At 48.5% G+C, this 24941-nt stretch overlaps 1 protein-coding gene and 1 pseudogene across 12 annotated transcripts in view; one reads left to right on the top strand and one right to left on the bottom strand.

Moving 5' to 3' along the window:
• Positions 1-24941, bottom strand: part of ACSF2 (acyl-CoA synthetase family member 2) — a 48628-nt gene that overhangs the window by 10469 nt on the left and 13218 nt on the right. For 5 of the 12 annotated variants that reach the window (XR_007065473.1, XR_934563.4, NM_001288968.2 and 2 more), the window contains 9 exons: positions 3505-3700; positions 3007-3135; positions 2691-2744; positions 2075-2193; positions 1792-1957; positions 1126-1221; positions 825-982; positions 468-559; positions 83-159 (listed from right to left, as the gene is read on the bottom strand). Coding sequence is in view for 8 of the 12 variants with exons in the window: in NM_001288968.2 (NP_001275897.1) it covers positions 83-159; positions 468-559; positions 825-982; positions 1126-1221; positions 1792-1957; positions 2075-2193; positions 2691-2744; positions 3007-3135; positions 3505-3700 (1087 nt within the window). In the remaining 4 variants the exon portion in view is untranslated. The remainder of the gene's footprint in view (positions 1-82; positions 160-467; positions 560-824; positions 983-1125; positions 1222-1791; positions 1958-2074; positions 2194-2690; positions 2745-3006; positions 3136-3504; positions 3701-24941) is intronic. The other 7 variants (XR_007065474.1, XR_934566.4, XM_011525294.3 and 4 more) reach the window with 5 other exon arrangements.
• On the top strand, positions 13642-13908 carry MRPS21P9 (mitochondrial ribosomal protein S21 pseudogene 9; annotated as a pseudogene).

Here is a 24941-nt window from a genome sequence, read left to right as displayed (position 1 = left end):
CCTGGACTCATCCCCATGTCTGTCCATCTGCTGTCATCCCAGGCCTGGCCTGCCCACAGCCCGGGCCGCAGTCACCACTCACCACCAGGTCCTTCATATTTATCTTGTTGATGATGGCTCGGATCAACTCTGGAGGTGCAGGGGACCCAGCAATGACACCTGAATCAGAGAGAGGGCTGACACAGCTCCCCAATTCTCCAGGCCCAGTGGAGTCCTTTCACCTACAGCTCATTCAGGGGAGGAACATTCCCTTTTCTCCTCTGACCCCGAGCCTTTCCTACACCTGGCAGCTGGCCCTGGGCTGGTGTCCAGGGACACTGGGGATCTCCCTCCCTCCCACCCACATTTTTACAGCGTCCTTCTTGCCCCCTATATAAAAGACTGGGAGCATAGCTAACTCACCCGGGCCATTCCTGTGGGGGAAGCAGCCCCCTCCCCAAGCCTGGCTGCCCTTGGCCCCACCCCACCTCCACACATGGTCGAGATGTCATAACTGGAGAAGTCTGGCTGGTTCAGAATGTCCACGAACATCGTGGGGGTACCATACAGGAAGGTGCCTCTGTATAGGAGGAGGTCTCGAAATTAGGCTTGGAAGTGGAAGGGAACTCCCTGTTCTCACCCACCCCGCCATGAAACTGCAGCAAAGGGAATAGGCAGGAGAAGCTCCTGAGGCAGGAACTGGTCCTCTCCTGGGGGTCCTCCACTGTCCCCATCCTCAGTCTCCTGGCTGGAGGGAGGAGGCAGCTTGGAAAGGTGTCAGGGCCCAGGAGTGAGGAAGAAGAGGGTTTTATCAGCCCACAAGTAGCCTGTCCACCAGTGCCCACCTCTCTCTGCTGATGGCCTCCAGTGCCTTCTTGCCATTGAAGATGGGAGAGGCCAGGATGAGGGTGGCACCGTACATCAGACACATCATTGTGCCTGCCACGGAACCCAGGCAATGGTACAGGGGGTTGGGCAGGATCATCCGCAACTGCTCTGGTGTCTGGTGATGGAGACAGGAGGCTGGGTCTGTCTTGGAGCCAGACGCCAGTTCCTCTCTAGCTGGCAAGGGGAGCCCAGCCAGCCCCCCACCCCTGCCTGAGCCACCCCTCCTGCAGCCTTGCCCTGGGCCTAGTGCCGCCTCACCTTCTCATGCAGTTTCAGGCGCTCTCCTAAAATGTTGGAGTTGTTGACAATGTTGTAGTGGGAGAGGGTGGCCCCCTTGGGGCTGCCTGTTGTCCCCTGACAAGGCAAACAGGGCATGGCTTGGCCTCCTTCTCATCTCCTTCCCACCCTGGGCCACTGCCTTGAAGAGCACGGGACCGGGAATCAGGAGACAGGGATTGTTGCCCCAGATCCATCTGTTCAGTATATTTGCAAAAGGTCTACCACGATACCAGGTGTCAGGGTCCAGCAATGCAGAAGATAAGGTCTCCGTTCTCATGCCACTTACATGGCCCAGAGAACTCTGCCACCCACAAGCTGGCTTGGGCAAATTCTCTCTTCTGCGTCTCTGATTCCTCATCAGCTAAATGAGGGGCAGCCTGTAGCAGTTCCAACCTGTGTTGGTTCAGTGAATCTGCCACTGCACCGGGAACAAGAGGGCTGGAGTGGAGAGGGCGGGGGGCTAGGGGAGGAAATGTGACAAGGACACCAGGTGCTGATATTTTCCAGGGCAGAGAGGACAGCTGAAGGCCAGTCTCAGTAAAGAAGGCATGCTCTCCTCTGCTGTCTCCCCATCCCCGCGGAAGTGTCACAGGGACAGGGGGCATGTGTCCATCTGGGCTTGGGGCCTGGAGACCTCTGCCCTACCGAGGTGAACTGGATGTTGATGGGGTCATGGCAGGACAGGAACTGCTGGTTGTATTGGAGCTGGTCCAGATGCTGCCGTGTGCTGCCAGCCGCCACCACTTCATCCAGGAGCAGGGTCCCCGGCAAAGGGGCATCCACCGAGATGACTGTGGTCAGATCTGGGAGCCTGGGGTTGGGGACGATGGTGAGAGACAGGGGCTGAGGGAGGGGGCAGGGTGGGTAGGAAGTGAAGGAATCAGGGATGCTGAATGATGCACCACCCACTAACCTGGGACACACCCACCTCTGACTCTTCAAGGCCCCTGGCTGGGCATTCTCCACTTCTGGACAGATCTGCTTCAGGACGTTGTAGTATTGCTGGGTCTTGAATTGCTTGGGGAACACAAGGGCCTTGCAGCCCACCTGTGGAAGGGGAGTCCCCCACCTCCAGTCAGCGGGGAGCCCCAGACTAGAGCTCTGGGGGAGTCCTCACTAATCAGCTGCTCTCATACAGATGCACCCGCTTCTGACACACACACCTCCAGCACACTCACAGGCACCACACTCCAAGACAAATGCACACATGTACCAGCCCCGAGACACACACACCACACCCTGAGACACATATGCATCACATATGAGGATGGACACACGCACACACACACACACACACACACACCTCTGCCCTGACACACACATGCCCCCGTCCCTGCACACTCACGCCAGGTTTGTGTCTGACCAACCACGCTCTCCTTGGAGTTGGGGCCACCTTCCAATCACACATGGCCTAAGGAAGGACACTCTGCGTATCACCCGCCTATGCATGCCCTAGCTCACACCGTCAGACTCTGACAAGCAGAGTCTGTGCAGCCCCCTGTGCCAGGCCCCAGCCGGGCCCCTCCCCGACAAATGAGCTGTACCTTCTTGAGGACATACTCCAGTTCCATAGCCTGGTAGGCTGGGTTCACAGACACCTGGTGGAAGCGGCGAGGGCATATCAGTATTCTGGGCAGACCCTGTCCCTCCTGCTGCCCCTCCGCCCCCAGGAGGCATAGAGGCAGCACTCTACAGCCCCCTAACTCCCAGAGACCTCCTTGGTGGGCCTCAGGAGAAAGCACTACCTGGTTTGAAACCAACAAGGCACTGGTTTGATCCTGGGGCTGAGGGCCTGAGGGGCTCCCCTTCAGTGATGTTCCCCCATGCACACCAAGCTGTGCCAAGCAAGCCCCTCCTCACCAGAATGATGCCCGCCTGGGCGGTGGCCAACTGCATGAGCACCCATGCATAGGAGTTAGGTCCCCACATGCCCAGCCGGTCACCTTTGCAGAGGCCAATGCTCAGGAGGCCAGAAGCAGCTTTGTCCACCTAGTGTAAAAGATGGGGCGCAAGGGGTGAAAGGGGGCAAGCAGGAAGGGGCCCAAGACTCCCACCCTCAGCCCTTAGCCCGGAGTTCTCATCACAGTCACTGGGGACAAAGGGACAGGCAGATTCCCAGCCTCAGTGGGTCTGCCCTGGGGCCTGCATAGTTAACAGGTGCCCCAGGAGCTGCTGATACAGGAGGCATTGGACCCCTTGTGCGTCAGTCCTGTCTCCTTCTCCTGCCATCCCTCGGGGTTCTCTGGCAGCCCTAGCACATTGCCCCATAGCCAGGTGCCCACGCTCCTGGTTCTGCCCAGCTAGGGCAGCTTGGGAGCTAGTACTTGCCCACTTTGAGGTTTCCAGGTCAGGACCCACCTCCTCCTTGAGTTGGGCAAAGGTCAACCTGACGTCTTCATGGAGGACGACCAAGGCCTCTCGTTCTGGGACCCTCTGTGCTGTGGTCTCCAGGCACTGGCCCACAGTCTTGCTGTTAAGATGCTTTTTGGTGCACCCCTGAACGTAGCTGAGGCCTCCGATGGGCGTGGAGACCATGCGATCCACCTCTCTGGAACTGTAGGGAGAGGAGCTATGGGTTTGACTGTCCCAGATCAGTCTCCCTGGAACCAAGGGCATGGCACACCCAGCCAAGCCAGGGGGTAGGCTGCTGACAATGTGTTAGAGACCACTAGGTTTCCTCCAGATCTTCTTGTAAGCCTAAAATCCCCCAGACCCTTTTCCCAACCTCAAGCCTAATCCCAAGGCAGCAGGACAGGGACAAGGTTACACCAAGCTGGAGCAAAGGGCCCTCCTTCGCCTTCCCGGGAAAGGTGAGATGCCATAGTGAAGCCTGGGAGAGCCTGCCTGTGCAGACAGACAGATCTTACAAAGCAGGACCATGCCTTCACCCCTAGCCCCTGCCTCCTGGAGAATAAACAGGTCACTGGGGTCCTTCCTGAGGAACCAGGGAAGCGTGCCTGGACCCTGGGCTTGAATCCAAGGTCTTAGGATTTTAGACTCCTTGGTGGGCCAGTTTTTCTCCTGAGGGCCTGAAAGCCAAAGACAGAATAGGAAAGGGATAAAGGAGAGGGCAGATGGAGGCCCTAAGAGAGGCAGCTGGGCGGCCCCTGTTATTCCACAGGCCTGTAGGTGTTCAGTGCCAGGTGCTAAAGATCCTGGGCACCTGCAGATGAAGAAGAAAGCCCCTATATGCCAAATGGCACCTGGGCTCCAGCTCCCACTCTCAGATGATGTCACAAGGCAGGCAGGCAGTTTCTGTCTCCAGGGAATTAAGAAGCTGGCTGAAAGCAGCCAGTTAAGGCAAAGGGGCCAGATGTCAGATAAGCAAGGGGCACCAAGAGCCTGAGAGTACTGAGCTGGGGATGTTGAGTGGAGGAAGCAGCCAGCTCGGGACCTGGCTCGGGTTCTAGTCTGGGGCCGGGACTCTTCACCTCTCACATGTGGCTACCTATCCATTTCAGTGCACAGGTGGAAACAGGTCTGGGTAGAGGCCTGGGCAGTCACGGGAGTAGTAACCTACTCCCCAGTTTTCTCCATCGGCCTTTCAGGAACTACCCATCTCCTCCCAGCCCTGCCAGGTAAGAGACAACCCCTAAGTAAGGGCACGTCAAGCTGGAGGAGAACCTGCACTTCCATTACTGCTCCACTTAACTTTCCCCACCTTTTATTAACTGTGGCACCTGAGCCAGGCATGGTGGCTCACACCTGTAAAGTCTTGCCAGCACTTTGGGAGGCTGCAGCAGGAGGATCGCTTGAGCCCAGGAGTTCGAGATCAGCCTGGGCAATATAGGGAAACCCTGTCTCTATGAAACATTTTAAACAATTAACCAGGTATGGTGGCGCATGCCTGTAGTCCCAGCTACTCCGGAGGTTGAAGGGGGAGGATCACTCGAGCCTGGGAGGCAGAGGTTGCAGTGAGTCATGGTTGCACCACTGCACTTGAGCCTGGGTGACAGAGAGAGGCCCTGTCTCAAACAACAAACCAATAAAACCCAGTGGGACCTGGCAAGTTATCTGTTTACTCTTTGGCTCGAAGGGGATGAAGAGACTGCCTTGCCTATTCCATAGCAGGGCCATGACGTTCAAGCGTGAACAGGCCTGCAAAGGTGCTTTGCGAATGGTGAAGTGCTCTGTAGTCGACAGGCATTTTACCATCCATTCATGGCATTTATCGACCATGCTTTCGACACACATTCAGTGAGCACCCGTATGTGCCAAGTACTATGCTAGGACTAGAGATAGAACAAGCCACAGTCCTTCTTCTAAGAAGCTCCCTGTCTCTGGGGAAATTAGACATATTAGCTCTTCGTGGGTGGGAACAGCCTAGAAAATCAGGAAATGGGAGCCATGAGGCAGACTGTGGGGGGAATCCCAGCCCATCTGAGGCCCATTGTCTGTCCCCTCAAAGCTGGGTTAAGGCAGCCTCTCTTAGACCTGGGCCCTGGGGCCACCCATACTATGGCCTCCTCAGCCCTACGGAGTACTTAGCCAACATTTATTCCTCCAACAAATATTTAGGAAACACCCACCACAGAGAGGGCCCAATGGTAAAAAATGAACAAAGCCAAATACAGTCCCTGTCCTTGCAGAGATAAGGGTCTGGTGGGAAAGACAGGAGTGCAGTCAACCTTGGTAATGATGAATGTATGTTTAGAAAGCTGAGATAAGGAAGGGGCCGTGGTCCTAGGAGCACCTGTAAGACGGAATCTGGGATCACCTGGGGCTCCAAGGAAAACTCCCTTAAGAAATTTATGCCTAAGCTGACAGCTGAAGGGTGAGGAAGTATTAATCATCAGAGAAGGGAGAGGAGGGCTTTTCCAGCAGAGGAGAGCTTGTCTCTGTGGCTGGGGCATGGAAAATGAAAGGGAGTGCTGTGAGAACGGGAGGGTGACTGGAACTTGAACCCAGCTGAAACCAAAGGGTCCAGAGCAGAGGACATTGGGCCTGGAAGAATGAGGAGAGCCCCCAAACTCCAGGTTCTGGGGTTGGGGTTTTCTCCACCCATGGGCCCAAGTGGACCCACATCATTTATGAAGTGAAGAGGGATGGATGGATGTTGGAACCAGGATCTGTGTTTATGGGCTGATCCCTCCCTTGTCCCTCCAGGGACATCAGAAGGAACCTTCTCAACCAGTGTCACTCCCTCCTCCAAGTGACAGTTTTTCAAGATGTGGTCCATGGAGAGCTGCTTCGGAATCATCTCAGGATCTCACAAAGAATGCAAATTCCTGGGCCCCTGCAATGCCTACTCATTGCAGAGCTTCTGGGGAGTGGACCGGGAGAATCTGAATTTTTAACAGAATCCCATGTGATTCTGATGTGGGACTGGGTGAGGATTCTATGAATCACACTTTGACAACCACTCTCTTGGCCATCTAAGCCACCCCAACCGCCTTTGACTCATCTATTCAAGCAAGCTTTAGTGAGCACCTACTATGTGCCAGCCCTGTGCCAGGTACTAGGGATACAGGGATGGATAAGACACTGCTCCCAGCCCTCTAAGTAGCCATAGTGTGGTAGGAAGAGAAATGTATGTAAACAAATCATTTCAACTCTCGGATTAAGGCTATTCGGTAAAGAAGAGAACCAAAAGAAGATAACCTACTCTCTCCTAGGGGTACATGGGACAGAAGTGGGGTTTCTTTCCCCACACTCCTCACATCTCAACTACCAACCTCAGCTCCTCCTGCTTCTCCCCCTTGTAATTTCATTCAATTCCATATGTCTATGAAATCTGTGGGCCCTCAGGGTCTACTGAGATCTGCCAAGGTCTAGAGTGGAAAACTGGTCCTCTTCCCATCCCACTAGTGATGAAGGAAGATGCTGCATGTCCCTCCAAACCTCCACACCCTCCTGGCCAGAGATGGCCACCAATGGTGTGGTCCTCAGCCTAGGGGGCCCTGGGAGCTTCTACCTGGATTCCACCAGGGACTGCCTAGCCCATATCCAATGATGGCCTGGAAGGTCTGGAAGCCAGAGCACATCTTCTCCTATGGGAACAGAATTTGCTCTGTTCACATTCCCACCTAGGTCTGAGTAAGAGCTCAGAAACTGTCACCTAGAGCAGGCCAGTGAGGACACGCAGTCCTAGGAATAGGGTGTGACACCTGGACTTCCCAGAGGTCTTTTTTTCATTTTTTTTTTTATTGTTTGTCTGTTTGTCTTTGAGAAAGGATCTCACTCTGTCAACTGGGCTAGAGTGCAGTGGTGCCACCATGGCTCACTGAAGCCTCGACCTCCCAAACTCAAGCAATCCTCCCATCTCAGCCTCCCAAGTAGCTGGGACTACAGGTGTGTGCCACCACACCCAGCTAATTTTTATTTTTATTTTTTGGTAGAGATGGAGTCTTACTATGTTGCCAGAACTGGTCTCGAACTCCTGGGCTCAAGTGATTCTCCCACCTTGGCATCCCAAAGTCCTGGGATTACAGGTGTGAGCCACCGCACCTGGCCACCAGGCACCTTTTTTATTTTATTTTATTTTTATCATTATTTTTTTAAGACAGAGTTTCGCTCTCGTTGTCAGGCTGGAGTGCAATGGCGTGATCTCGGCTCACCACAACCTCCGCCTCCTGGGTTCAAACGATTCTCCTGCCTCAGCCTCCCGAGTACCTGGGATTACAGGCATGCGCCACCACGCCCGGCTAATTTTGCATGTTTAGTAGAGACAGAGTTTCTCCATGTTGGTCAGGCTGGTCTCAAACTCCCGACCTCAGGTGATCCGCCCGCCTCGGCCTCCCAAAGTGCTAGGATTACAGGTGTGAGCCACCGCGCCCGGCCACCAGGTACCTTTTTATCAGAGGGTGCAGTGTTAAGGATGAGGCTGTTCCCATCTCTTGCAGGTCACCTGTCTGCTTGGCCAAAGCAGTGGATTTACCTCAGCTTCTCTCTTCAGGGTTTCTGTGCCAAGGCTCCAGGTCACTGGCCCTGAGTAGAAACTGAGGAGTACACTGCAGACAAGAGCCTTCTCCTCCATGAAGGACAGGAAGTCAGCCTGGGGGTTTGGATCTCCCAAGGGTGAGGCAACCCCTAAGTTAAATGCACGATGATTACTGGGGTTGGGGCGTGTCAGGCATTTCTAAAGGGGAAAAGTTTGAAGCTGTTCAGGACTCCGGACGGGGCACTCCACAGCTCATTCTGCAGCTGTAGTGCTGGGAAGACCACGTATATCTTCTATTGATTGTTCATGCCTTGTGAGGGACAGTTTCTGGGAGGAACAAATTTCAAGGCAGAAGGAGCAAAACTGGGTTGCCCTGTAAATGGGTGAGGCAGCCACTACCATCCCACTGGAGGGTCTGTCACGACAGGGGCTGATGGAAAGGCTGTTTTCTTAGACTCCTCACCTGGGAAGTGAGGACAAGCGTCACAGTGAAGGAGGAACACTGCTGATGCTCTGAAGCTCGGGGGACACGGGGAGAATGCACCAGGCCAGGGACTCGAGGACCCGAGGTCTCAATGCAGGTGTGCTGCTGGCTGGGTGGGTGATGGGTGTCTTATGTCACAGCTCCTCCGCCCACCCTTGGTTTTAGCTACAGCTGCTGGGGTGGCTCCTTGGGAGTCTGCTGCCTGCTCAGGAACTTCCTCAATGTGGGAGTCCCTGGTTCTGCAGGCCAGCCCAGCCTGGAAGAGGAGCTCATGCCTCCAGGGACAGCAGTCAACCCCATGGGGCTGGAGCTCCAAGTCTCCCCTTTTCTGGGAGGTATCTGTACCTTCTCAGAGGTCCAGGTGAATGAAGCTCTTGTTGCCTAGGGTGATGATGTTAATAACATCCCCTCATCAGCTTCCCCACTCCCTGTTTACTCTCTCTACTTCCTATCCCCACTTCCTAGGATCACTCTCCAAAATAAACTACCTGCACCCAAGTCCTTGTTCTCAGGAGAATTCAAATTAAGACACAGGATTTCTCCTTTCTAAAGCTCACCTTCCCCACCTATAAAGTCTGGGAACTGGCCAGGAATGATGAATCACACCTGTAATCCCAGCACTTTGGGAGGCCGAGGTGGGTGGATCACCTGAGGTCAGGAGTTTGAGACCAGCCAGGCCAACATGGTGAAACCCCATCTCTACTAAAAATACAAAAATAAAACAGGCGTGGTGGTGCACGCCTGTAGTCCCAGCTACCCGGGAGGCTGAGGCAGGAAAATCTCTTGAATCCGGGAGGCGGAGGTTGCAGTGAGCCAAGATGGTGCCACTGCACACTCCAGCCGGACGGCAGGTGTTCAGCCTCACAACAAGCATCCTCCTATTCTCACAATGACCAGGAGTCCCATTTAGTTTGGAACTTGGTTTTCCATTATTCACCATGGTTTTCAGACCAAACAGTGGTCTCCTGGAAATTCTAATTGGGAAATCGGCAGGCTGATTTATGGGGGAAAAAAAAAAATCCAGTTCAATTGGCATATGTGTTTTCTCCTGTGTCTTCACAGCGGCTCTGACAGGTGGTGTGACAGAAACCCCAATAGGTCCTTCTTCTCTCATGACACACCCTCAGACATCTAGCTGGCCACGTTGTGTGGAATAAAGACCAGGTTTCCAAGCTTCCCCGGCAGCCGATCTGGCCAGATGGTGAGGTCCTGGCCAGTGGGGTTTAAAGAGAGATAGTGTGTGCAACTTCAGAGAAGAAACTTTCAGAGGAAGGGACATCTTCTCTTTTTTTTCTTCCTCAGGCTGGAATGCTGCTTGTGACGGGAAAAGAATGGTAGCATTTTGGACCACATAGTGATTTGGGGCACCACAGAGCAACAAGAGAGGAGCCTGACGCCTGGACAGCAGGAGCTACCACACCAGTCACAGACTGGCTGTCTCCCAGATAAAGAAACTCCCATCTCCTTTCTTTTTTCTTTTTTTTGCTTTTGAAAATTAAATTATTTATTTTGGGATATTTGTAGATTGATATGCAGATGTAAGAAATGATATTCAGGCCAGGTACGGTGGCTCATGCCTGTAATCCCAGCACTTTGGAAGGCCAAGGCAGGGGAATTGCTCAAGCCCAGGAGTTTGAGACCAGCCTGGGTGACAGAGCAAGACCCTGTCTCTAAAAAAAAAAAAAAAAAAAAAAAAATTTGGGACGGTCTTACTCTGTCGCTCAGGCTTGAGTGCAGTGGTGTAGTCATGGCTCACTGACTGCAGCCTGGACCTCCCGGGCTCATGTGATTCTCCCACCTCAGCCTCCTGTGTAGCTGGGACTACAAGTGTATGACCCCATGGTTGGCTATTTTTTTGTATGTTTTGTAGAGATGGGGTTTTGCCATGTTGCCCAGGCTGGCAATTTTTTTTTTTTTAAATTAGCTAGGCATAGTAGCATGCACCTGTACTCCTAGCTACTTGGGACGCTGAGGCAGGAAGATCTCTTGAGCCTAGTAGTTCAAGGTTGATTACACCCACTGCACTCCAGCCTGGGCAACAGAGCAAGAGCCTGTCTCAGAAACAACAACAACAACAACAACAACAGCACACACACACACACACAAACCCAAAACAACAACCACAAAAAACTACAAAAAAGAAACAATACAGAAATAGCTCATGCATTCTTCAGCATCAATATTCAAATTTTCCCAATGTTAACATCTTGCAAAACTATAGTACAATATTATAGCCAGGATATTGATATTGATAATAGTCAAGACACACAACCATTCCCTTGCCCCCATCTTCTTTCAGTCACTCTCAGTTTGGGTTTCTTTGAGACACACTAATATAATCCTAGAAAAATGCAGGTGAGGCCGAGCGCGGTGGCTCACGCCTGTAACCCCAACATTTTGGGAGGCTGAGGTGGGTGGATCATCTGAGGTCAGGAGTTTGAGACCAGCCTGGCCAACATGGTGCAACCCCGTCTCTACTAAAAATACAAAAAATTAGCTGGGTGTGGTGGTGTGTGCCTGTAATCCCAGCTACTCAGGAAGCCAAGGCAGGAGAAGCTTGAATCCAAGAGGTAGAGGTTGCAGTGAGCCGAGATTGTGTCACTGCACTCCAGCCTGGCCCACAGAGTGAAACTCCGTCCCAAATTTTAAAAAAATGTTTAAAAAAATGCAGGTGAGTATCATGAACTCCCATTCCACAGGTAAAGAAGCTGAAGTACAAAGAGATCAAGTGGATCACGTGGCGGATGAACACCCGAGCCAGGAGCAGAGGACCCGGTGCAACTGCCTCAACGTTACAGCCATGCCTGCCCATGCCCCACCCTCAGATCTGGGAGAAAGGAGAGGGCATAGGTGATTCCTGTTCCTTCTGGTTTGGAATTTATCTCCTATCTGATCATCAGAGATAATATAACCTCAATTTTATTATTCCACAATTTCTACTAACTGATCCCAAGAAACTGGGACCAGGGTAGGGCAGGGTTGAGTTGGAAACAGGTGGCTCTTCCAAGGAATTAAAAGAGTTCTACAAACTCATATCAATGCAATGTGCTCATAAACATAGGACCCACCCATCATTTCGAAAGAGGAAGCATAAACAAACCAATTCTCCTTCCTTGCCCACACCACAAATGCCTGGGGCATAAAGGGTGGCCACTTCTTTTTCTTTCTTTCTTTCTTTTTTTTAACTTTATTTTAAGTTCTGGGATACACGTGTAGAACGTGCAGGTTTGTTACACAGGTAAACGTTTGCCATGGTGGTTTGCTGCACCTATCAACCTGTCACCTAGGTATTAAGCCCTGCATGCATTAGCTATTTACCCTGATGCTCTCCCTCCCCCGGCCCCACCCCTCGACCCGACACTTCTTTTTCTATTTTTTCGTTTTGTTTTGAGACTCACTATGTCACCCAGGCTGTAGTGCAGTGGCACAATTACTGCTCACTGAAGCCTCAAGCTCTCAGGCTTAAGAGATCTTCCCATCTTAGCCTCCCAAGTAGCTGGGACTACAGGTATGAGCCACGGTGCCCCAACTTCTATTCTTAAAGGGATTTGGTTTTAGGAATTTTTTTTTTCAATGCGACATGGGAAGCTTAAGGAGTTAGAGGAAAAACAGCAGTGCCAGTTGTTCTCAACTCAGAACTAAAGTAACTACTTGGAAAGGCATCAGCTACTTAGCATGGGTGTTGTAAAACCCAAGGCTCTCAGGGCCCAGGTGGGACTGAGACCAGATAGGAGCCTTGAAGAAACAAAGCACAGCCCCACCTTAAAGGTGCCAGCAGAGGGCTGGCTCCTGAGAACTCAGGCCCAGATCTGAGTAGAGAAGTCAGGAGCAAGAAATTTTATTTTTTAAGAATTCTCTTGACTTTCCAGTGTTGGCAACTAATGTGTTCACTGCTTTATCCCAAGTGTCTGAGTGCCAGGAACATAAGAGGTGCTCAGATGAATGACCAAATGAATGAATTAAAAATAATGCACATAATGACTCAATTAAAAAATAGTAGACATCTTGCTGAAGGTAATCTATGAATGGCTAACAAGCAGATGAAACGCAAATTAAAACCACAATGAGGTACCACATCATGCTCACTTGGAAGGCAAAAAAATAAAATAAAATCAAGGGCTGGGCGCGGTGGCTCACGCCTATAATCCCAGCACTTTGGGAGGCCAAGGCGAACAGATCACCAGAGGTCAGGAGTTCGAGGTCAGCCTGGCCAATATGATGAAACCTTGTCTCTACTAAAAATACAAAAATTAGCCGGGTGTGGTTATGGGTGCCTGTAATCCCAGCTACTTGGGAGGCTGAGGCAGGAGAATCGCTTGAACCTGAAAGGTGGAGTTTGCAATGAGCCAACATTGTGCCATTGCACTCCAGCCTGGGTGACAAGAGCAAAACTCTGTCTCAAAAAAATAAAAAATAAAAAAACAAAATAACAAGTGTTGGCAAGCATGTGAGGACACTGTAATCCTTATATATTGCTAGTGGGAATGTAAAATGATTCAGCTGCTTGGAAAACAGTGTGGTGGCTCTTCAAAAAGTTAAATATAGAATTAGCATATAACCCAGCAATTCCACTCCTAGTTATAATATATGCCCAAAAGAACTGAAAACATGTGTTCAAACAAAAACTTGGGCCAGGCACAGTGGCTCATGCCTGTAAGCCCAGTACTCTCTGAGCCAAGGTGGGAGGATCGCTTGAGCCCAGGAGTTTGAGACTAGTCTGGGCAACATAGTGAGATTCCATCTCTACAAAAAAAATTTAAAAGTTAGCTGGGCATGGTGGTGCACACCTGTAGTCCCAGCTACTCCGGAGGCCTAGCTACTCTGAAGGATCACTTGAGCCTGAGAGGTCGAGGCTACAGCGAGCTACCATTACACCACTACACAACAGGCCTGGGTGACAGAGTGAAACTCTGTCTCAAACAAAACAAACAAAAACCCGTACATGAATGTTTACAGCAGCACTATTCACAATACCCAAAAGGCGGAAACAAACCAAATGTCCAGCAACAGATGAACGGATAAACAAAATGTGGCATATCCATCCCTACAATGGAATCTATTATTTGGATTACAGAGGTCAAATGGGTATGGAACATCAGGTTTGGCAGAGTGGAGACTTAGATCCAAGCTCATGGATTTAAAACCTGAAGTTCATTGCCAGGAGTATGATGGCACAGGAAGGGAATGTGGAAGGCACATACAGGACCCTAAAGAGAGTCCTCACCGTGGATGAACTCATTAAGGACATTAAGCATTGGTAGTACTATGAGAAGCTATGCTGACAGTGACAGCAGGAGAGTTCTGAAACCTGCCAGCAAATCCACAAAATGGAAATGGCTCGCAGGATCACTTTTTTTTTTTTTTTTGAGACAAAGTATCACTCTATCTCCCAGGCTGGAGTGCAGTGGCATGATCTTGGCTCACTGCAGCCTCTGCCTCCTGGGTTCAAGCGACTCTCCCACCTCAGCCTCCTGAGTAGCTGGGATTACAAGTGTGTGCCACCACACCTGGCTAATTTTTGTATTTTTTGGTAGAGATGGGGTTTCACCATGTTGGCCAGGCTGGTCTCAAACTCTTGACCTCAAGTGATCCACCTGCCTCGGCCTCCCAATGTGCTGGGATTACAGGCGTGAGCTGGATCAACTTCTTGATGCCAAAGAATCGGGCAGATCTGCGGTGGGGCTGCTGTGGCCTGTGGATAGGACACCCAGTATGAAAACCCTTGGCCAGTTTGTGTCTCCACCTCTTGTCTTTCTACAACCACATTTTCTGTTACCCGTTTTTAGGATAAACTCAATCGTATATATGCAAGAAGGCCTCCACTTAGAAAAGGCCTCCACTTAGAGAAGCAATCCCATTAGTCAGCAACGGACCCTCTCGTTTATTAAGTGAAAGAAGAAACTGAAGGTAAAAGCTGTCTAGCAGTAGAGGGGGCTGAGGAGGGGGCAATGGGAACTTATCGTTTAATGGGTACAGAATTTCAGTTGGGAAAGATGAAAAAGTTCTGGAGGTGGGTGGTGCTGATGCTTGCACAAAAGTGTGAGTGTACTGTACTTAATACCACTAAACTGCAAACTTCAATAGTTAAGATGGTAAATTGTATGTTATGTGTATTTTACTACAATAAAGCAATTTTTAAAAAGGAAATGAAGTAGCCAGGAGTGGTGGCTCACGCCTGTAATCCGAGCACTTTGGGAGGCCGAGGCGGGTGGATCATGAGGTCAGGAGATGGAGACCATCCTGGCTAACACAGTGAAATCCCGTTTCTACTAAAAAAAAAAAAATACAAAAAAAATTAGCCGGGCGTGGTGGCGGGCGCCTGTAGTCCCAGTTACTTGGGAGGCTGAGGCAGGAGAATGGCAAGAACCCTGGAGGCAGAGCTTGCAGTGAGCCGAGATCGCGCCACTGCACTCCAGCCTGGGTGACAAAGCGAGACTCAGTCTCAAAGAAAAAAAAAAAAGGAAATGAAGTACTGATACATATTACAACATGGTGGAACCTTGAAAACATTTATAAGTGAAAGAAGCCAGTAACAAAAGACTATATATTGGGCCGGGCGTGGTGGCTCATGCCTGTAATCCTAGCACTTTGGGAGGCCGAGGGAGGCAGATTGCCTGAGCTCAGGAGTTCGAGAGCACCCTGGGCAACATGATGAAACCCTGTCTCTACCAAAAACACAAAAATTAGCTGGGCATTGTGGTGGGCGCCTGTAGTCCCGGCTACTCGGGAGGCTGAAGCAGGAGAATTGCTTGAACCCAGGAGGCAGAAGTTGCAGCAGGCCCAAATTGCACCACTGCACTCCAGCCTGGGTGACAGAGCGAGACTCCATCTCCAAAAAAAAAAAAAAAAAAAAAAAGACTACATATTGTATATGTCATACAACTTTGAAATAATTCCAAATACATACATAGTTTGTGAAAAAGTTGTTAGAATCAAAATGGAGTCACTTGTGTCAAACCCTGACAAAATGGAGCCAGGTAAGAACATGCAGGGAGGGTTCTGGTGCACGACTGCCTGATAACAAAAGATATCACAAGAGACTTTGCCAAAACCACAACCTTGCACAAAGGCCACCTCAATCTTACACACACACACAAAATGCTTCTGTGAGGACATTTGCCCAGCAACTGCCTGTCCAGCCCTGGACTGATGCCACCCTTGTTTTTGATCCTTGTAGCCGAGGATAATTGTTTCAAGACAACATATGTAACCCTCATTTTACCTTTAAAAATCCTTGTCTTCTTTACCTCTGTGAATATGCCCATAGTTTACTGTGGCATACATATTCCTCATTGCAATGCTCATTCCCAATTAAACTCGTTATACTTGAAGACTTTTTTTCTGTTTGTTATTTATGTTGACATTTGCTATGGGAGTGACATGTTTTGCTGTGACAAGAACATGGAGTGTACTCCCCTCCCCTTGTGAATGTGACACAATCACACCTTATCAGACCCCATTTGTGAACTACTGACCTCAGCTACTGGACTCTAAAATACAGTCATGCACTGCAAAATGACATTTTGGCTTATGATGGATGGCATATATGACAGTGGTCCCATAAGATTATATTGTAATATTGTATTTTGACTATACCTTTTCTACGTTTAGATATGTTCACATACACGACTACTTACCCTTGTGTTACAATTGCCTACAGTCTTTAGGACAGTAACATGCTGTACAGCTTTGCAGCCTGGGAGCACAGGCTCTAGGTGTGTAATAGGCTCTACCATCTAGATTTGTGTAAGTGCACTTGATGATGTTTGCACAATGACAAAATTGTCTGATGTATTTCTCAGAATGTGTTCCCGTTGTTAAGCAACGCCAGACTGTACATATAAACCCAAGAGTTTGACAGACACTTTGAGACCTTGGGCTGTGGCAGGGCTACACTCTGAGCGCTTCTCTGAAGAGTGAAAGCTCAGGCTGAGCTAAGGCCACACCCTATCAGCCTTTGAGCTAATTTCCAAAGCTTCACCAACTCCGGTATACCCTCTAGGATGGTCAAGCCATCTAGCTGAGAATCTCTCTATAAAGGTACGCCTCAAGCGTCAGTCAGACTACTTTCCACAGAGGCTTGCTTTCATCCTAAGTGAGCAATTAGACTTTAATAATTGGATTCTAACAGACTGGAACTCACTCACTATGTGGCTAAGGGACCTCCTCTATTGAGTGTATTCCCTATGAGATTTGTTTTCTTATTCTCCCCGCTTTAAGCACTGTGAACAAAAAAAGAAAAAAACTCTTTGTATGGCAATAAACTGTGTGACTCGTGAAATCATACTTTGATCATCTCATTATTATTATTATTATTATTATTTTGAGACAGAGTCTCACTCTGTGGCCCAGGCTGGAGTGCAGTGGCGCGATCTCGGCTCACTACAACCTCTGCCTCTGGGGCTCAAGAGATCCTCCTGTCCCAGCACCCCCCGAGTAGCTGGGACTCTAAGCGCGCACCACCACATCCGGTTAATTTTTGTATTTTTGGTAGAGACTGGGTTTCGCCATGTTGCCCAGGCTGTTCTTGAACTCCTGAGCTCAAGTGATCTACCTGTCTCAACCTCCCAAAGTGCTGGGATTACAAGAGTGAGCCACCACACCTGGCCATCCTTATTTTAATCATACAAGACACTATGATTCCATATATATGTCCAGAATAGGTAATTCTATAGAGACAGAAAACAGATTAAGTGGTTGCTTAGTGCTGGGAGGGATGGGAAGACAGAGAGATAATAGCTACAAGGACATAGGGTAACTCTGTGAGGTGATGAAAATGTTCTAAAATTGACTATAGTGATGGTTACACATATCTATGAATATACTATAAGCCATTGAATGTACACTTAAAAAATAATGTGCATAATCTACTCCTAGGTATATATCCAATAGAAATCAAACATGTGCTCACCAAAAGACAGGTACTAGGATATTTGTATCATTTCCAATATTTAAAATACCCAAATGTCCATCAACGATGGAACAGATAAATAAGTGGTGACTTATTTGTAATTATACAATAATGAGAGCAAAGGAACTATGATTATGCCCAGCAATCTGAATCTCATAAAACAATGTTCAATGAAAGAAGCCAGATTTTAAAAGGTATACTGTCTAATTCCATTTATACGTACAAAATAGGCAAAACTAATCTATGCTGTTAGAAGTCAGGAGAATGGTCAGTTGGTGAGGGTCAGTGACTTAAAGAGGTCACGAGGGAACTCCTGGTTTCTGGTCATGTTCTGTGTCTTGATTTGAGTGCTGGTTACATGGGTGTGTTCACTTTATCAAAAGTACATCAAGTGGGCCTTAAAATATGTGTACTTTTCTGGCTGGGTGTGGTGGCTTTGGGATGCCGAGGTGGGTGGGTCAGTTGAGGTCAGGAGTTCGAAATCAGCCTGACCAACATGGTGAAACCCCGTCTCTACTAAAAATACAAAAATTAACCAGGCATGGTGGCATGTGCCTGTAATCCCCGCTACTCAGGAGGCTGAGGCAGGAGAATCGCTTGAATCTGGGAGGCGGAGATTGCAGTGAGCCAAGATTGCCTCCAAAAAAAAGTGTACTTTTCTGAATCTGTCATATATTTCAACACGAAGTTTTAAAAAAAAAAACCTTCTAGGGCTTAAGCTACTGCCAATGTAGTCATAATTAATAAACTAAATTTAGCAACATTGCAGTACCTATTTAACATTCTGTCAGAAAAATAAAAGCAGCACATAGCACATCTGTGCAAAATATATACATTAATAAATAAAGCTGGGCAAGCCAAGAAAACACATCTGTTCATGATCTCTGTCTTAGAAATTACTCAAGAAAATAAACAGTCCCAATGTTGAATGTCATAGGCTTTTCCTTCCTGAGGCTGTGTTTTCTGGACAGTCATGGTACAATGTGACTGTTAGCCCTGCCAACCTGTTTCAGATGTGGATGCATGTTCTACAGGTTCAGGAGCACAGAGCAGCTGATGATGCATAGTTGTTCATTTAGAATATGGCTTACTGAATGCAAGGCTCCAGCAAGATCCAGAGGGCAGCTTTACAATTTTTTTTTTTTTTTTAAAGATAGGATGGGGTCTTGCTCTGAAGCCTAGGCTGGAGTGCAGTGGCATGATCACAGCTCACTGCAGACTTGACCTCCCAATTTCAAGTGATCCTCCTATCCCAGCCTCCTGAGTAGCTGGGAACACAGGAATGTACCAGCAGACCTAGATAATTAAAAAAAATTTTTTTTGTAGAGTCAGAGTGTCTCCCTATGTTGCCCAGGCTAGTCTTGACCTCCTGAGCTCAAGCATTCTTCCTGCCTTGGCCTCCCAAAGTGTTGGGATTACAGACGTGAGCCACCATGCCCAGCCTGTAGACACTTTTGATGACACGTCGGGAATGTAATGATTCTGCTTTATGAAAAGATAAGCACTCTCAGAGAGGAAGGCAGAGATGGGTAAATCTGCAGGGTATCTGAACAGAAGAGAAAAGGAACACTGAGTATCTCCTCTGTAATGCAATCATACAGGTTTTCGAGGCAAATTGTCCCAGCAATTTGTGGGAGATGAGGACTTTTATTCCTGTTTTAAAGATGGAGAACACTGAGATGAAAAAGTTAAGCAACTGGTCCAAGATGCTGCTAAAAAGGTTGATTGACAGCCTCATGTAAGTCAGGCACGGTAGCTCATGCCTATAATCCCAACACTTTGGGAGGGTGAGGCAGGAGGATTCCCTGAGTCCAGGAGTTCACGACCAGCCTGGGCAATGCAGTGAGATCCTGTCTCTATAAAAAATTTAAAAATTAGCCAGGGGTAGTGGCATGCACCTGTGGTCTCAACTATTCAGGAGGCTGAGGCAGGAGGATAACTTGAGCCCAGGACTTCAAGGTTGCAGTGAGCTATGATTATGCCACAGCACTCCAGCCTGGGCAACAGAGTGAGCCCCAATCTCTCAAAAAAAAGCCACATTATCTAATTGCAAACATTTTTCCACCAAAACAGACCAAGTGACACTTACACACAGAAGACAATAATGACCAAATCTGCCACAAAGTCACAGAAGATGGAAGACAAATGGCCAGTAAGCATAGGAAGAGGTGCCCATGTCACAGATCAAAGAAAAACAAACATGAGGCATTTGTTCCCCACGAGATAAGCAAAGATGAAAAATATGGATATTATGATGCCTGCAACTTATTTTCAGATGGTGGCAAAAGTGTGTGTGTGTGTGTGTGTGTGTGTGTGTGTTTGCAGAGAGAGAAACTCGGGGGCTGGGGAAGATATCTAGTCTCTGATCCTTTAGCAGCTGATATTTCTTTTTCTTTTTTTTTGGGCCGGAGTCTCACACTATCGCCAGGCTGGAGTGCAGTGGTGCGATCTCAGCTCATTGCAACTTCTACCTCCCTGGTTCAAATGATTCTCCTGCCTCACCCTCCGGAGTAGCTGGGACTACAGGCATGCACCACCGTGCCCAACTAATTTTTTTGTATTTTTAGTAGAGATAGGGTTTTGCCATGTTGGCCAGGTTAGTCTCAAACTCCTGACCTCAAGTGATCCGTCCATCTCAGCCTCCCAAAGTGCTGGGATTACAGGTGTGAGCCACTGCGCCCAGCCAGTGGCTGATATTTCAAACTCAATTCCTTTTGATCACTTATCTAGATTATTACACCACCGGGGCCAAAAAGCTGCTATTCCAAAAATTATATATAGATATAAAATAATTCAACCTGTCTGATACTGTAATAAATGAAACATTACAAGAAGAGAAAATAGAACAAATCAGTAATCCTCTACCCAAACCAAAGATTGCTGTCTTTCTAGAGGAGTCTATATTTAATTTCAAATTTCCATGATAGGCACTTTTGTCAAAGAATATTCATAAGCAGTACTAGAAAGCAGTTGCAGCTAAATAAGAGTTAATCCTTGTAACCCAAGTAGGTTCATGTTCTTGCTGGCTTTATGCAATCAGTGGGAGAGGTTATTTTAAGATAAGCTAGAGCACTAGATGATCACGCTGCATTCAATAGGGCCTAAAAAAAACTCCCCAAGTAGAGAAGATTAATAAAATGGCTATGAATTTCAACATAAAAACAGGAGTTATTGATTATATGGAATGTTGGCAAGGATGTGGAGAAATATACCAGAGTGTAAACTGGTATAAGATTTTTAGAAGATGGTAAGTATAGAGGCAGGAAGCCTAAGAAACTTACACTTTAGCATGCCCCCCAGCCTGGCCCCTCCCTACCATCCTAGTGCTGGGCGTGCCTGGAAATTGGAGAGGGAAAGCTGGCTGCAAATCAAGAAGCATTTATCTGTCAGCATTTCTGACAAATTGCTTAAAGAGAGCTCAAAAGAGAATCTTCAAGCTCGCAGCAATTGGTAGCAAATTCTTTTCTTATTCTAAATCGATCTTCAGTTTGCACAAAATCTGATACTTAAGAGCTTTTTATTCTTGTTTAGAAAGAGGGCATCCCAAACTGTGTTAGCTTCAAAACCTGTAAATCTGGATTCCTTCTGATTTGGTAATATCTACTAACATTCTGAATATGCATACCTTTTGAAACAGGTCTGCCATGGAGAATCTAAGGGGAGAAGCTGTTTGGCCTCCTGGCAATTCTACTTTTAGGGATCTATTCTAAAAAACAACAACAACAAACAAACAAACAAACAAAAACCTGGCCGGGCGCGGTGGCTCACGCCTGTAATCCCAGCACTTTGGGAGGCTGAGGTGGACGGATCACAAGGTCAGGAGATCGAGACCATCCTGGCCAACATGGTAAAACCCTGTCTGTACTAAAAATACAAAAATTAGCCGGGCATGGTGGCGTGCACCCATAGTCCCAGCTATTCGGGAGGCTGAGGCACGAGAATCAGTTGAACCCAGGAGGCGGAGGTTGTAGTGAGCCGAGATTGCGCCACTGCACTCCAGTCTGGGAACAGAGTGAGACTCCGTCTCAGAAAAAAAAAAAAGAAATAAAACCTAAAAAATGCCTAAAGGTATGATTAATTGCCACTTAGCAAAGAACTGGGAAAAAAAAATTATTCCTATGAGTAAGAGATTAGATAACTAAATTAGAGAGCATATACAATGCAATACTGCCATTAAAAAATGAAGACATGGTCAGGCAAAATGGCTCACGACCTATAATCCCAACGCTTTGGGATGCCAAGGCAGGAAAATCGCTTGAATTCAGGAGCTCAGGCCAGCCTGAGCAACATATTGAGACCCCGTCTCTACAAAAAAATTAAAAATTAGCCAGGTGTGGTGGTGTGCACCTGTGGTCCCAGCTACTTGGGAGGCTAAGGCAGGATGTTTGATTGAGCCTAGTAGGTCAAGGCTGCAGTGAGCCATGAATGTGTCACTGCATGCCAGCCTGGGTGACCGAGAAAGACCCTGTCTCTAAAACAAAACTAAACTAAAAGGCCAGGCGTAGTGGCTCATGGCTGTAATCCCAGCACTTTTGGAGGCCAAGGCGGGAGGATCACTTGATTCCAGGAGTTTGAGATCAGCCTGGGCAATATAGCAGACCCAGTCTCTACAAAAAAAAAAAAAAAAAAATTGTTTTGTTTTGTTTTTTTGGGATGGAGTTTCACTCTTGTCACCCAGGCTGGAGTGCAGTGGTACAATCTCAGCTCACTGCAACCTCTGCCTCCAGGGTTCAAGCGATTCTCCTGCCTTAGCCTCCCAAATAGCTGGGACTACAGGCATGCACCACCACGCCTGGCTAATTTTTGTAATTTTAGTAGAAATGGGGTTTCACCATGTTGGCCAGGCTGGTCTTGAACTTCTGACCTCAGGTGATCCACCCATCTGGGCCTCCCAAAGTGCTGGGATTACAGGTGTGAGCCACCGTGCCCAGCCAAAAAAAATGTTTTTAATTAGCCAGGCATGCTGGTGTGTGTCTGTGTCCCAGCTACTTGGGAGGCTAAGGTGGGACAATTGCTTGAGCCCACAAGGGCGAGGCTGCTGTAAGCCATGATTGTGCCATGCACTCCAGCCTGGGAGACAGAGTAAGGTCCTGTCTCAAAATAAATAAATAAAAATAAATAAATAAATAAATAAATAAAGACACAACATTTAATGACATGGAAAATGTCTAATACACTGTAGGTGATAAAGCAGATTTCAGAAAAATGTGAGCTGATGTTTATTGCTGTGTCCTCATGCCAGCTCTCTTCAAAGACTCTGCATGCCTGATCTGTGATCTTCATAACCACTCCCTGACCAAGATACATACCCATTTTACAGATGAAGGAATGAGGCTCCAAGAAATGCAGCACCTCACCCAAAGCCACAGAGCATGTAAACAGCCAACCTGGGATTCAAACCCAGGACTGCCTGGCTTCCAAGACCCCAATACAATACAACATGAATCTTTTCAGAGCCCTGTGACTTAAAAAGGACCGCCAGGCCAGGCATGGTGGCTCACGCCTGTAATCTCACCACTTTGGGAAGCCAAGGTGGGCGGATCCCTTGAGCCCAGGAGTTCGAGACCAGCCTGGGCAACATGGTGAAACCCCATCCCTACAAAAAACACCAAAAAAATTTAGCTGGGTGTGGTCGTGCATACCTGTGGTCCCAGCTACTGGGGAGGCTGAGGTGGGAGGATCACCTGAGCCTGGGGAGATCAAGGCTGCAGTGAGCCGACATCGTGCCACTGCACAGCCTGGGTGTCTCATATGATTCTCACATTACTCTCAGATCATTTCTTTTTAAGGATGAAGAAGCAAGTAGTTCATTTTCTTAAGGTTCTGACCCTGATGGGTGGCAAATCTGGACCCTTTTCCAAGAGTACTACTCTTTACTCTGCAGCCCATCCACATCCTGCCCTGGGGGCCCTGCAGGCTGACGGGGAGCCGTCTGAGTGCCTCCAGTCCATGGGGAGCCCCTCCCGGGATGGCCCCTTCAGCAGCTGCCCCCACTAGGCCTCCCACTTGGCAGTCCTTGAGCACACACTGACTTTTCCATCTCCTTGTGGTATCTGATTCTTTTTCTTTGCTGCCTCTTCTCTCATTGTTCTGCTCTTGTGAGCCAGCTCACCTCTCCTGGCACCAACCCATAGTGGCTCTGCACCCTACCTGTGCAGCCACCTGGTCGGACCCACCTGGAAAGCCTTCTGCCCCAGCATTAGCCCTGCCCAGCCCAGCCTTGCCTACCAGCAGGAACTGGACAGAAAACACGAGCCAGCTGGTTCAGGGCAATGCAGGTGAAATAGCTGTGGCATTCTGTGACACTCAGGGCTGGCAACTAAAGTCGGGGGCTAGAGGTCACTGGGCACAAAGGATTGCACAGTTCTGACATGGTCATGTAGAGACCACAGGCAGAGCTGGGCTCTGAGGGAGCCACAGTTGGCAGGGAGGATTGCAAATGCCTGGGCAAACAGGTCTGCCATGGAGAACATAAGAGGAGAAGCTGTTTGTTTTGCCTCCTGTTACATATTACCTGCTGGGTAGAGGTTCTTGGAACCTGGGCCAGAGGTTTACAGGTGGACCCTGCCCCTGTCGGGGGGTGGAAATGCCTCAGGCCCTGGGCAAGGCCTCTTCAGAAGCCACTGGGGAGGGAGGATGAAGGACTCAGAACCTTGATTTGTGAGGGGCCCAGAGACTGCAGGAACAGTCCCCATGCTGAGGCCACCCCCTGCTTCCTGGGGAGGGTGCCATACTAGCTAGCCACCAGTGAGGCTTTCAAAATTAAATTGAAAGCAATATCCTGTTTTGTTCCAAGCCATGGACTGGCCTCTGCTCCTTACCCCCCATGGGAGGCTGGTCCCTAGGTCCACAGAGAAACATACATCATCAACAAGGCTAAAAGACAAGCAACAGCCTGGATTTATAAATTTCATTTTATATATGAGACAAAGGATTAATATTTAGCCTGTGTTTTAAAAAACACAAATCAATAAGGACAAATAATCTCACACAATAAATGGGCAATGAATAGGAACAGAACAGACACAGGAGACATTACCAATAAACATTTTAAAAGATGCCCAATCTCACTGGTAATCAGGGAAGTATAAATTAAAACCACAACGAGATACTCTTTCACCCCCACCAGAGCGGCAAACTCTTTTTTTTAGCAATAGTGTCTATGTTGCCCAGGCTGGCCTCAAACTCCTGGCCTCAAGTGATCCTTCCACCTCAGCTTCCAAAGTAGTTAGGACTACAGGGTCGTGCCACTGAGCCCAGCAGCAAACACTTTAAAGTCCAGCAATGCTAAATATTTGCAAGGATGTGGGAAAATAGCAAAACTTGGTTGCTGCTGGTGGTCACAGTAGCACAGTCTCGCCAGGGCAATACCTAAAAAAGAACTCTTCAGCACAGCAATTTCACTGCTAGAGATATAGTAATAGCATGGACTGCTATACAGCAGGTAAAACCAATAACTTAGATCTACAGGTCTCAACTTATGTCCATCTGAGATGAATAGATCTGTAACACACATACTA

This window comes from Homo sapiens, chromosome 17 (assembly GCF_000001405.40).
Source record: "Homo sapiens chromosome 17, GRCh38.p14 Primary Assembly".
Classification (NCBI taxonomy): Eukaryota; Metazoa; Chordata; class Mammalia; order Primates; family Hominidae; genus Homo; species Homo sapiens.
Note: the sequence above shows the minus strand (reverse complement) of the source record. Positions and strands in the feature narration are given on the sequence as shown.